This window comes from Homo sapiens, chromosome 5, assembly GCF_000001405.40.
Source record: "Homo sapiens chromosome 5, GRCh38.p14 Primary Assembly".
Taxonomy (NCBI): domain Eukaryota; kingdom Metazoa; phylum Chordata; class Mammalia; order Primates; family Hominidae; genus Homo; species Homo sapiens.
Window position 1 is genome coordinate 72051953 of NC_000005.10, and position 14861 is coordinate 72066813.

Here is a 14861-nt window from a genome sequence, read left to right on the forward strand (position 1 = left end):
AATGGCTGACCCAGCAGGGCTCATGGAGGACAGCATTCTTTCCAAAGGCAATCTAAGCAAGGCTGAGCCAGACACAGACAAAGTTACCTAGGAAGAGACAGAGGTTGAGTGGTCCAGGGGTTTGTTTCAGTCTTTTGAATTCCAGGCTCCAGCATCTCTAATATGGTCGCAGTGGTATCCAAAAGAAAAATACCTTCAAAAAATCAATGAATCCAGGAGCTGGTTTTTTGAAAAGATGAACAAAACAGACCGCTGGCAAGACTAATAAAGAAGAAAAGAGAGAACAATGAAATAGACGCAATAACAAATGATATAGGGGATATCAGCACTGATCACACAGAAATACAAACTACCATCAGATAATACTATAAACACAAATAAACTAGGAAATCTAGAAGAAATGGCTAAATTCCTGGACACATACACCCTCCCAAGTCTAAACCAGGAAGAAGTTGAATCCCTGAATAGATCAATAACAAGTTCTGAAATTGAGGCAGTAATTAATAGCCTACCAACTAAAAAAGTCCCGGACCAGATGGATTCACAGCCAAATTCTGCCAGAGGTACAAAGAGGAGCTGGTACCATTCCTTCTGAAACTGTTCCAATCAATAGAAAAACAGGGACTCCTCCGTAACTCATTTTATGAGGCCAGCATCATCCTGATACCAAAACCTAGCAGAGACACAACAAAAAAAGAAAATTTCAGGCCAATATCCCTGAGGAACATCGATGCGAAAATCCTCAATAAAATACTGGCAAACCGAATCCAGCAGCACATCAAAAAGCTTATCCACCACGATCAAGTCGGCTTCATCCCTGAGATGCAAGGCTGGTTCAACATACTCAAATCAATAAACCTAATCTATCACATAAATGGAACCAATCACAAAAACCACATGATTTTCTCAATAGATGCAGAAAAGGCCTTTGACAAAATTCAATACCCCTTCATGCTAAAAACTCTCAATAAACTGGGTATCGATGGAACGTATCTCAGAATGATAAGAGCTATTTATGATAAACCCACAGCCAATATCATACTGAATGGGCAAAAACTGGAAGCATTCACTTTGAAAACCAGCACAAGGCAAGGATGCCTTCTCTCACCACTCCTATTCAACACAGTATTGGAAGTTCTGGCCAGGGCGATCAGGCAAGAAAAAAAATAAAGGGTATTCAAATAGGAAAAGAGGGAGTCAAATTGTCTCTGCTTGCAGATGACATGATTGTATATCTAGAAAATCCCATCATCTCAGCCCAAAATCTCCTTAAGCTGATAAGCAGCTTCAGCAAAGTCTCAGGATACAAAATCAATGTGCAAAAATCACAAGCATTCCTATACATCAATAATAGACAGAGCCAAATCATGAGTGAATTCCCATTCACAATTGCTACAAAGAGAATAAAATACCTAGGAATCCAACTTACAAGGGATGTGAAGGACCTCTTCAAGGAGAACTACAAACCACTGCTCAAGGAAATAAGAGAGGACACAAACAAATGGAAAAACATTCCATGCTCATGGATAGGAAGAATCAATATTGTGAAAATGGCCATACTGCCCAAAGTAATTTATAGATTCAGTGCTATTGCCATCAAGCTACCACTGACTTTCTTCACAGAATTGGAAAAAACTACTTTAAACTTCATATGGAACCAAAAAAGAGCCCGCATAGCCAAGACAATCCTGGGCAAGAAGAACAAAGCTGGAGGCATCACAGTACCTGACTTCAAACTATACTACAAGGCTACAGTAACCAAAACAGCCTGGCACTGGTACCAAAACAGATATATAGACCAATGGAACAGAACAGAGGCCTCAGAAATAACACCACACGTCTACAACCATTTGATCTTTGACAAACCTGACACAAAAAAGCAATGGGGAAAAGATTCCCTATTTAATAAATGTTGTTGGGAAAACTGGCTAGCCATATGCAGAAAACTGAAACTGGACCCCTTCCTTACACCTTATACAAAAATCAAATCAAGATGGATTAAAGACTTAAATGTAAGACCTGGGGCCATAAAAATCCTAGAAGAAAACCTGGGCAATACCATTCAGGACATAGGCAGGAGCGAAGACTTCATTCATGTCTAAAACACCGAAAGCAATAGCAACAAAAGCCAAAATTGACAAATGGGGTCTAATCAAACTAAAGAGCTTCTGCACAGCAAAAGAAACTATCAGCAGAGTGAACAGGCAACCTACAGAATGTGAGAAAAATTTTGCAATCTATCCATCTCACAAAGGGCTAATATCCAGAATCTACAAAGAACTCAAACAAATTTACAAGAAAAAAACAAACAGCCCCATCAAAAAGTGGGCAAAGGATATGGACACACTTCTCATAAGAAGACATTTATGCAGCCAACAGATGTATGAAAAAATGCTCGTCATCACTGGTCATTAGAGAAATGCAGATCAAAACCACAATGAGATACCATCTCACACCAGTTGGAATGGCGATCATTAAAAAGTCAGGAAACAACAGATGCTGGAGAGGATGTGGAGAAATAGGAACACTTTTACACTGTTGGTGGGAGTGTAAATTAGGTCAACCATTGTGGAAGACAGTGTGGCGATTCCTCAAGGATCTAGAACTAGAAATACCATTTGACCCAGCAATCCCATTACTGGGTATATACCCAAAGGATTATAAATCATTCTACTATAAAGACATATGCACATGTATGTTTATTGTGGCACTACTCACAATAGCAAAGACTTGGAATCAACTCAAATGTCCATCAATGATAGACTGGATAAAGAAAATGTGGCACATATACATCATGGAATTCTATGCAGCCGTAAAAAAGGATGAGTTCATGTCCTTTGCAGGGACATGGATAAAGCTGGAAACCACCATTCTCAGCACACTATCGCAAAAACGGAGAGCCAAAAACTGCATGTTCTCACTCATAAATGGGAGGTGAACAATGAGAACACATGGACATAGGGAGGGGAACATCACACACTGGAGCCTGTTGCGGGGTGGGGGGCTGGAGGAGGGATAGCATTAGGAGAAATACCTAATGTAGGTGACGGGTTGATGGGTGCAGCAAACCACCATGGCACGTGTATAGCTATGTAACAAACCTACAGTTTCTGCACATGTACCCCAGAACTTAAAGTATATAAAAAAAGAAATATCAAACAATTAAGAAAAGTTATGTGTGTAATAAAGGTATGAAATATTAAAAAAAAAAGAAAGTCTATTTTTTAAAAATCTTCTAGTTGTCTAATCTGAGTATGGAGAAGAAAGCAGAATGTGTGCTTCTTCTGAGAGGCATCAAATGTGATCCGGGGCTTCTGTGCAAGGGTCAGGTGGAAACTGCTTCTCAGAAACAATTAATAGCCTAGGACAAAACCGGTAGCACTGAAAATGGAAGCTCACAGCAGGAAAGACTTCCTCAAGTTTAGAAGAGTGACTTACTGTGATGGCCATGAAAATGGACTCAGGTGTCCTGCTAGGGGAGCATAGTTGGAGACTCAGGTCTCCTGCTAGGGGAGCATAGTTGGCCGACGGCCCCACTGCTCCCGCTCTGGACCCACTTGCACACTCATGCCAAGGCCCTGAGCTGCTCCCCAGCTACCACAGCAAGCGTACTAAGGCAGGTTCATTCCAGTGAGATGCAGGGCTCCTCCAAGGGGAATTTTGTCTCACGTACTCCCTATAGACCTGCTTAAATCTTTCTTGAAATTTTAGTATAGACTGAGATTCTTCTTACCCCATCTTCCTTCCTTCCTTCTCTCCTTCTACTGGTGTTAGACTTGTATTGCAATCCGAAAGCTCTCCTTGTCTTTCCTGCTCTCTTCTCCAAGAAATTTCTTGCACATCTAATTCCATCTTGGCATTTACTTCTTGACAAGCCTGAACTAATGCATGTAGCATTTCTTTTGGTCCAATCAGCTGAGTGCTGTTGTTGCTACAAAAGCAAAACAGATTACACAGAGAGATTGACTGTCTCTTTCAGGGTGAGGCAAGAAGAAAAAGATTAAGTATATTTCTAATGTCCTAGAGAAGGCAAGAGTGAGAGTCTTTTTTTTTTCATTGACCAATCATAAAATAATTGTTTCTCCTATAACTGATTTGTTAGACAGGGACATAATACTGTATTAGGAGTTGACAAACTTTGTTAGCCATTTGGCATGCTGAAAAGACAGGAAAAAAGGGGGGCAGCATCAATGTTGATGTTGGAACCTCCTTAAACCTGAATGTAGCACTTTGTCTTCAGCTCTGCAAAGAAGTCACAGATATAGACGAGCTGTGAGCGGTCCATAAGGGAGAGGTAAAGGCTAGTATTTTACTAGCCTCAGCAGTTTCCCTGTCTACTCTTGTATCACTTATCCATCAACAAGATGTGCACTCCACAAGATCAGCTGTTTGCATCTCTCTGGTTCACTACCTTACCCCAATTGCGTTTCAAGTGCATGGTGCATGTTAGGTGTGCTCAAGAAAGATTTGCTAAATAAACATAAGCCTGTATGTACCAGCACCCTTTCTTTTGTTCAGGGCAATGGTTTCTGCTATCTATGGAAGTTGGATGGGTGAAGGCAGGGAGCAGAGTGGGACAGGGTATTTTCACCTTGCAATTTCCATAACTGAGAAGTAAATGACCAGTAGCAGGCTGTCATTGGGTCTCTCTATGACTGCCAATACTCAAAAGTGATTCTGCTCAGGAATTAAAAAGGGGCCAGGGTCCTTCTGCATTATCTTGCCCAGATCCCCTCTCAGGGTTGGAAAATGACTTCTTTACAAGTTATGAATGAATTCTTCTACTCCATTCTTCCCAGAACACCAGCCCACTACACACATATACACACACATGATGACAAGAGAAGAGTATGCAATACTGTTACAAAGGGTTGAGGGGATGTTCCAAAGCATTACTTATTAGTTGGGATTTATTTCAATTCTGAAAAACAAAATACCCTCAAAGTATATTAACTTAAACAAGAAAGAGTTTACTGAAGTTCAAGTAGATAGCCCAGTGCTGGTAAGGTGTCATTCCATGGTGTCAGGAACTCAAGCTGCTTCTAATTTGTTGTCCTGCAATACATGGCTTTCCCAAGTTTACCTTATAATGAAAGATCACTCCAGCTCCAGCCACCATAACTACCTTCCAGAAAGAAGAGAATGGAAAAAGAAGGGAACACCTCCTTCCTTTAAGGATAATTTCCAGAGCTGCACCATCATGTTTACTAATATCCTACTGGCCAGAGTTTTTTCAAATGGCCACAACTAATTGCCAGGTAGACTGGAAAAACTGTAGTTTGTATTCTGGGCAACGAGGTGCCCAGTGAAAAAGAGGACAAATATTGGGACCACTAGCAGTTTCTAGCACTTTGGCTTTTTGGCTAAAATATATACCTGAGATAATACTCTCTCCACAAGGAGTTACCACAGCCTGCCCAAAGTCCAGGATCACTTGCAGTTCTCTGCATTGAATTGGATGTGACTACCTGTGGTCTGGTACTGTAAAGTTATCTGCTACACACATTCCAAATGTGTAATGATGGAGTAGGAATAGAAAAACACAATAAGACTCTCACTTGGAAAAGAGGAGAATAGAGAATGGAAAACACAATGCAGTCACTCGTTCATCACAATTCTTCAATCCCACCAGAAAAATATGGCATTCTTGAGGGACCCTTGTTTTTCATAGACCTAGGGGTTACAGAGTCACATGGTTCAGCAGGCCAGGCATTTGATTTATTTGACAATACAACTCTCTCAAAAACATAGTAGGCTTCTGATCTACTTTCTTCTGGTCAGTTCTATGCTTAAGTTATAACAATCTAAGATTTTATTAGTTGTGTTTTTAAGACTGAGCACTCTTTTCTTTTCTTACTGCTCTCTGTATTCTGCCCCCCGCCAGACCCACCTTAATGGCAACTGTCCTGAGCCTAGGTGAACCAATAAGCTGTTGGCAAAGAAAACACTCCTAATCTAATCTTACACCCTTAATTTAATCTGTGCTGCTAGACTGGCTCTTACTGTCTAGCAGAACACTCTTAACAGAAAGTGACTGAAAAAGCTATATGAGCCTTATCTCCTTCTAAGGCTGTTACTCAAATTCACAATTTCTAACTCCTTCAATTTGGGGTGCAGAGACAGCTAACATCAAACATGCAAGGACCTAAATTGCATCAACTTAATTGCAGGTAACAGGCAGAGTGCCTCCCCTAGCTAATCTCACTAAGGGTACGTATGTGTTCTGCAGAGAGCTGTGGGTATCCCTGCTGCATAGTTCCCTGACTTGGGGAATCTAGCTGTGGCTCCATCTCTTAACAGCCATAAGCAGTATACCCCAATGCCTCTTGCTGCTAGGGTTCCCTTTGCCTAGCAGGCAAGTGCCTTAGAGGTTTACCAGGGAGCTGGCTAATGCCCAGCCACCCTCCTCAGCCAGATGAGCCAGTGTCAGGCTGCTCCAGCCACCCTTCCTTCTGCCTGTCCACTTCACCTGGATTCTCTTCTCCCTAGCAGATCAGCAAGTCCTGTCTAGGCAGATGTGTCAGCTGGGGCAAGGAATATCACACTTTCTTTCTCTCTGGTGCCTCCAGCCTCACAAGTGAGCTTCTGCAGCTGCCTCAGCACCCTCATTTGGCTTTGCTGGGGAAATAAAAAGTCATTCACCAGGAAAACAGTACTCCTGAAGATTCTGACCACTCATCCTTCCTCGTTGTCTGCTTATGAAGACAACAGACTTGTAGTTGGGCATCGGAAATTTCTGTGGTAGATTCCATTCTGCAAACACTTAGTAAACTCTGAAAGAGCTACCTCTTCACATTGTGGTGTACTTAAGGCTTCTTTGTCTTCAGCCTTTGGCCTTAGTTCAAAAGTCAGGGCATGGGTATCCACAGGCAAAAGAATATATTTAGACCCCTAGCTTACACTATATGCCAAAATTAACTCAGAAGGAGTCAAAAACCCTAAATTTAAGAGCTAACATTATAAAACTCTTAGAAGAAAAACAGATATAAATTTACATGACTGTGAATCAGGCAATGATTTCTTAGATATGACACCTAAAGCACAAGCAACCAAAGAAAAGGAGAAAATTTTTATGTTGCCAAAATTATAAACTTTTGTGCTTCAAAGAACACCATCAAGAAAGTGAAAAGACAATCCACAGAATGGGAGAAAATCTTTGCAAATAGTATATAGAATAAGGGTCTGCTATGCACAACATAAAAAGAACTCCAACCACTTAGCAATAAAAAGACAAACAGCCTTACTAAAAATGGACAAAGAATTTGAACAGACATTTCTCCAGAGAAGATATAGAAATGATCAAGGAGCACATGACAAGATGCTCAGCATCATTAGTCATTAGAGAAATGCAAAGCAAGACCACAATGGATACCACTTCATACCCACTAAAATGGACAAATAACAAGAACAACAACAACAAAAGATGCACAATAGCAAGCATTGACAAAGACATGGAAAAATTGAAACCCTTATACTTTGCTGGTGAGAATGTAAAATGGTGCAGTCTCTTGAGAAAACAATTTGGGCCAGGTGCGATGGCTCACACCTGTAATCCCAGCCCTTTGGGAGGCCGAGGCAGGTGGATCACCTGAGGTCAGGAGTTCAAGACTAACCTGACCAATATGGAGAAACCCCGTCTCTACTAAAAACACAAAATTATCTGGGCATGGTGGCACATGCCTGTAATCCCAGCTACTTGGGGGCTGAGGCAGGAGAATCACTTGAACCTGGGAGGCTCAGGTTGTGGCGAGCCGAGATCGTGCCATTGCACTCCAGCCTTGGCAACAAGAGCAAAACTCCAACTCAAAAAAAGAAAATAATTTGGTAATTCCTCAAAAAGTTAAACAGAGTTACTGTATGATCCACCAATATCTAGGTATATATATATATACCAAATAGGATTGAAAACCTTTGTGTACCCAAAACCTTATACCTGAATATTCATAGCCAAAAGAGGAAACAATTCAGAAGTCTAAAAGCCTATAAACAGGTAAATAAAGTGCAGTATATTCATACAATAAAATATTAGCCTAAAAGGGAATGAAGTACTGATGCATGCTATAGCATGGATGAACCTTGAAAATGGTATGTTATATGAAGGGAGCCAGACACAAAATGCCAAATATATGATATATTGAGAATGGGTCAAACCAAATCAGACTTTTTGTCTTTATTAGTGGTTGACAGGGGCTGGGGGAGGGAGGAATGAAAAGTGATTGCTAATAGGTATAGGGTTTCTTTTAGGGGTGACAAAATGTTATAAAGTTAGATAGTGGTAATTATTGCACAACCTTGTGAATATATTATAAACCACTGACGTACATACCTTAAAAGAGCATATTTTATGGTATGTGAATTATAACCCAGTTTGTTTTTTAAAAAAGTCAAGCAATAGGAAGAATCCCTTTCAACTTCCCAGTTACAGGTGGAAGCAATTTGGTATGAGTGGGTTAGATTTTATCCAAAAAATTGACTATAGCTTCCAAACTAGAAGCAGTTTTTAGTACATGTTTTAATGCATTTACTAACTTTTTTCTGAAAGTGATGCACCTACAAGAGCATATCTTATGTATAGGCACATGAGTTGTGCCACTTAAAACAGCATTCCTCATTTCCAACTGCTTTGAGTGGACAGATGTACACACTTTGTTTTTTCTAAGCTATGCACAAACTTAAGGGCTTGCATGCACCATACATACACACTAATCTTCCTCTTTTCTTTCTTTCACAATAGTTCCTATAATCTCAAATCGGTACCTATTCAAAATTGGCCAAAAAGCCTGATAAATCTCAGGATATTGCAATCTGTGGGTGAGTCTCCAAGATGTCCACAGCATCCAAATGAAAATCAGAGTTGTGATAGAAGAATGGCTGTATAGACTCTAATCAAAAGATTGATTTTTGTGTAGTTGTTCTTTTTTAAAAAAACAAATTCTGAAAAATTCTGAGTTGTCTTTGAGAAGCAAAGGACAATGTTGAAGGGTATAAAGGAGTTAGTCAAGAATAATAAAAATAATCTCTTGGTAAAATGACTGAAGTTTGTAATATATTTACATCATAAAGACCACAATGTAAAAAATAAAATCAAAATAAGTGTCTAAAACCAACTGCAACAGCTCATTTCTCTTTTTAAAAATGAAACTGAGCATCTTATTTGAAGCTATTTTTATTTGCATTAGATTATTGCAAATAAACATTCTAAATGATAGAAAAGAGTTGTAATCATATAATTTGCTTTCAGTGTTTTTGTATTAACTCATTAGTCAAACCCTTCAGTGAAACATAGTTTACAAAAACATATCCATTTTTTTGTAAGCATATTATGAATAACATAGAGATGCTTTACTAATTTGATAATTAAGACCCAATATTTAGCTGGAGAGGACCAATTAAGTAAGAATAATTTAACTCTCTCTCTCTGTCTCTCTTTCTCTTTCTCTCTTGCTTGGCTGACTAAGCTTGGGGGAGCATAAAAGAATAAAGTAATCGTACTGCATTAGAACTAGTAGAAGACATTAGAGATTAACTTGGGGGCCATGACTACTGAGGAATTCAGTGAGTTGGCTTCATGGGCAGTCTGCGTAATCCTTAAGTTAGATGCAAAATGTTATAGGAATGTGCATAAGTGTATTTTTGGGGGTAGTGAGAATGTATAATCCTAGAAGATCAAGAAACCAATGTGCTGAAGAGTGACGGGTGAGGACAGTTGTCCTGGGACTTTGGAGGTGCTGTCAGATGGTCCTGGAAATACAGAACCAGTCCACTGCACAGCCAGAGATGACATGGGCTCAGTGATTCCAAAGCCCTTATAGTCAAGAATGTGAAATGCAGACGACCAGAGAAAAGAGCAATAGACAGTTCCTGATACACTCAGCTTACCCCGCTATACAATCTATAAGCATCCACATGTCCTCATTGGCTATGGAGATAAGTTATTCCAAAATACCATGGTCCTATCAGCCTGGAGGGTCTGGACTACTGGGAGTGTGTATATATATATATATGGCAAGGAAGAATGAGAGGTCGTGGTGCCATGGACAGAAGAAGAAAAATTAGCAAATGTTGGCTTGATAGGGTAAGCAAGGGTTTGGCTTTTAACACGTGGTATTCAAGGAGCAGACAGAACACCAAGGTTTAGTTGTTCCAAAAGCAACTGGAAAGACAGAAGTAAAGCTAGATGCTCCTACTATAGGAAAATTCTTTCCCCATCAGTGTTTCCTCCCTTTGGGATTCTCTCGATTCAACCCCATGACCACCACTGCACTCACCCCCAGGAGTGCATGCTCCTTTCCTCTACGACCTGCAGCAGTGTGCTAATCTGGTTTATTTGGGTTCATCAGAACAAAATGTTAGCCTTTCCCAATTCTGCCTTCAGTGACCTCACGTTGGTAGCCTGCAATTGGCTATGGTGGTGCAATTTCTATTTGCATCACAGAAATCAGCAAATGCTACAAATTAGTATCCCTCCTCCAAATGGGCTGTTAAATATTTACCAGCTTTTACCAATCACTGCTTATGAGTGAACAGAGATATAGAGTGTGTGGGGCCTTACACAGAATGGCCAAGGAAGATCTCACTGTTAGGGCAGCGTTTGGGAAGACTAAAAAGAGGTGATAAAATGAACCATGCAGGTATCTTGGGGAAGAGCATTCTTGTTACAGGAAACAGCAAATGTAAGGTACCCAGTGCAGGAGTGTCCTTGGTGTTCAAGGGACGGCAAAGAAGGCTAGTGTGGCTGGGGCAGAGTGAGTGAAGGAAAGAATGGTAGGGGATGAGGTTAGAGATAGATGAAGAAACGAGGGGCAAATCATGAAAGACCTTTTAGATGATAATAAGGAGTTTGGTTTTTACTCTGAGAGAAACGGGGAGACACTGGAGAGTATAGAGCAGTAAAGTGACATGAGTATGACATAGACCTTGAAAGGATTACTCCTTTTAATCCTTCATGTCAACTTTATGGAGGCTAGGACCAGAAGACTAGTGGTGGAGGGGATAAGAAGTGGTCATATTCTAGATCTGAATACAATAGAATTGTTATTAGTAAGCAGCTTTCAGCTCAATAAAAGAAATGAGTTTCTAATAGAGTTTTTGTCATCTCCAATGAAGTACCAAGCTTCTTGTACCTGGAAGTAACCAGGCAGACACTTGATATCCCTCACTAGAGATAGTATAGGAGAGTTTCCTATGTTGGGAGGAGTTTATACCCACTGACCTCTAATATTCTTCAATGGCCTGGGGCTTGGCTACACAAGAAAATGCTTGTTATAACTTGATGACTGATGATCGAGTTAGGACTAAGGGAGCAAATAGGGTTAGATATAGAAATTGAAATGGCTTCATTTCTGTAATAAATATGTTAATGGTTATTTTAGAGATATATTTATGACTTGGGCATAGGCATATCTAAGGGTTTGGGGGCAAAGTGGATGGGGGAGTAGTTTCGCGTTCGTGTCGCTCTCCGTGGTGCTGAAACACCAATGGTTAAGGGATAATGTTCTCCTAACTCCCTGACTCTTCCTACTTGGAGGTGAGGCCACCTGATATGTGCAGTCACATGAGGTAGAGGTGGGTTGAGTTGGGGAGGCTTGGGAACAAATAAAGTAAGGATGTCTTAGAATTCAGGATATTACAGCTGGAAAGGGTTTCAGGGAGTATCTAGTCCAATTGCTTAATTTTGCAACTGAGAAAACAGAGCAAGTCCACTTGTCCTAAGCAGCAGAGGTCCAGGACCTAGTATATCTCATCCTGGGATGAGATAAAAGTGAGAGGAGGCTAGTCCTGTGGGATTATTCTTAACATTTCCACCAGAAGTTTCTACTACTTGAGTTCTCCCTCATCGTGTGACCCTATTCACCACACCAGTGAATAAGCTTCCTCAGAAACATGTCCTGGTTTGTGCATGAATTTCCCTGATTTATACCTGGAAGCCTCCAATCTGGACTAGACATCCTTAGTTGTAATGGACTCTCTGGTTGATGTCACCCCAACTTCCCAGGCTTCTATCAATGACCTCTACTTTTTATTAATGTTACCATGCGTCTACTTGGTTTGTCATACTTTCTGAAGTACTAGAACTTGACGGAGCTGGGTATGCACTAACATGTTATACTTGTCCTTGTGTGGCTGCTTATTGAGGCTGTAGGTCTGCCGTTTGGTAGAATACAATTAACAAGATCGTAGAATAGGGGAAAGAACACATGGGTAAAGCACCCAGTAACCAGTCATGCAGAGGCTTAGTGATGTAAGAACTCACACCATAATCTGGTTAATTTTTTACTTTTTTGAGACAGGGTCTTGCTCTGTTGCCCAGGCTGGAGTGCAGTGGCTTGATGATGGCTTACTGCAGCCTCAAACTCCTGGGTTCAAGCAATCCTTCTGCCATAGCCTCCTGAATAGCTGGGACCACAGTTACATGTTACCATGCCTGGTTAATTTTTTATTTTCACTTTTTGTAGAGACAGGGATCTCTCTATGTTGCCCAGGCTGGTCTTGAATTCCTGGACTCAAGTGATCCTCCCACCTTGGCTTCCCAAAGTGCCAGGATTACAGGCATGAGCCACCACGCCTGGCTGGTTAATTTTTACAAATGAAAAATAAGAGCAAGAGTCTGCTGAGGTAGGTAATCACACTGAGTCAAGCTGGTGGGAGTTGTTTTTTTTTTTTTTTTTTTTTTTTTTTTTTTTTTTTTTGCCTGAATTATCTAGGTAAACACAGACATGCCTAAGAAATAAAAGATCTATATATATAAAGAAGCTACATTAAATCTTCATTTTAAATTTTCGTTAAATTCTAATTGTGTGTATGTTTTTTTAACTGGGCTGACAGACATTAATAACTACTGAATTAGTGAATTTCCATTGGCTCTGGATCTGTAAATAGAACAAAGCCATCTGTGGGTTAGAGACCACGGAAGCTCCTGCCTGGCCTCCCAGAGGTTCATTGTAACCTTGGGTCACAGATGGATGTGGCTCAGCTACCCTGAGTACTAGCTTCATCTGGCCTCAGAGCCCCAGAGCCAAGAGCAGGTGTAAGCCACATGCCTAGTCTCCCCAGGGGCTAGGAAAAGCCGCCTTGAGACCAAGGCTGCAAACAAAAGCTGGTAGAGGAGATTTCCTAGCTGTTTCAGACTGTGCCATAGATGTGAAACTCAAAGGCGAAGGGAAAAGTCAGCCTTCCTTATTCCAGCCTCTCCTACCTGCCTGTGTCCAAGAATGCTTCAAACCCAGAGATGCTTTTACTAAAATGGATCTCCAAGTTTGAGCCCTGGTGTTCTTACCATTTTGCTATTTAAAGTCTGCACAGGTATCTGGAGAACTGTCTGAATGGCTACCTCCCCCAGCATCTCCCTAACTAACTCACTCAATTTTTGCAGAGGGTCCTCTTTCAAAGAAATACCTGTGGCTGGGTGTGGCAGCAGGGCATGCCTGTAATTCCAGCTACTCAGGAGGCTGAGGTGGGAGGATCCCTTTTGCCCAGGAGTTTGAGACTGCAGTGAGCTATGGTTGTGCTGCTGTACTCCAGCCTGGGCTCTGTCATCCAAGCTGGGGACCCCAGCTCTAAAATGGGGTCTCTTTATTTTTAGATACCCTGTCTCTAAAATAATAAATAAAAAATTTAAAAAATAAGGAAACACCTCTGCCTCTGCTAGTCTGCCTTTCTCCCATTCTAGAAGGCCTTTTGTTTTTCTTTTCTCAAGTTTATTTCCCACTTGAGTAAATGTATTATTTCCTTTCCCTGATGTAAGAAAATTTCCTCTTACAAATGTTTTTTAGCCAATGAAGAAAATGCACTGGCAAGGACAGGGGCCTCCATCTCTCATGTGATCCAGAGAGATTCCTGTGAGCTGAGGTTTGCTCTTGGGAATGCCTGTTTGGATGCAGAGGGTTAGAATGCAGCTAAAGAAGGACCCTTGCCCAAGGTCCTCAGGTTTCCATGGCTCAGTGTGTATCTGACACCAGGGAGGTTTGAAGAGGGAGTAGGGGTGGCCAGGGATTAAATAAATGGTTGGAGGTAAGGGAGGATCTGGAAGGGCTGAGCCGTGTTCCTGTAAGGTCCTCAGGAGGCCAGGGCGCAGTGCCTGATCCTGTATTGCAGGCTGAAGCGGCTTAATTGCTGGTAATTAAGGCAGGATCTATAGTTTCTGGGCATGCCTAGTGGGGGAGGGGCTGGGTTTCTGGCCTTGGATGAGCTGCAGGAAAGCAAGCGGCTGCTCTTCTGAGCTTACAGCTCAGACACTCCCAGCAGGGCCTGTTGCTGGGCAGTTTTCAGCACTAGGAGTCTTTGCAAACCTGCTCTTTGAGGATGGAGATTGTCTTTTCAAAGGAACTCAAAGTAGAATATGAATAGTTAACCTTTATTGAGAATTTACCATAGGTCAGGAATTCTGCTAACCACGTTTAATTCTCAAAACATCTCAATGGGTGAATTTTTAATTGATGATGATAATAAAAGATTGGATAATTTGCTCAAGGTCCACAGTTCACACAGAATGCAAATTTAGTTAATTGGATTCCAGAGTCTGTGTTTGCAGGCACCACGCTCTTCTGCAGAGATTGCAAGCTGGTAGCCTATAAGCCTTCAGTGTGCCTGATCCCCACATTGCTTTAAATATAAAAATGTTCAATAAAATTAAGGATTTCTGGCTTTTTTGAAAAAATGATAATGTCTTCCAACACTGGCCCAATTTTTGCATGGCAACAATGAATTGGGACTGAGTAGCTGTTGCCCCTTCTAGAGAGGGAATCTCCAGTTTTTCTGTTTGTACTGCTTCTTCTTGCAAAACTCCTAGCCCATTTCAATCATTTATGAAAATGACATGCCTGGCCCTCGGCATTTTGAAATTGTGACACTGCCTTTTGTCA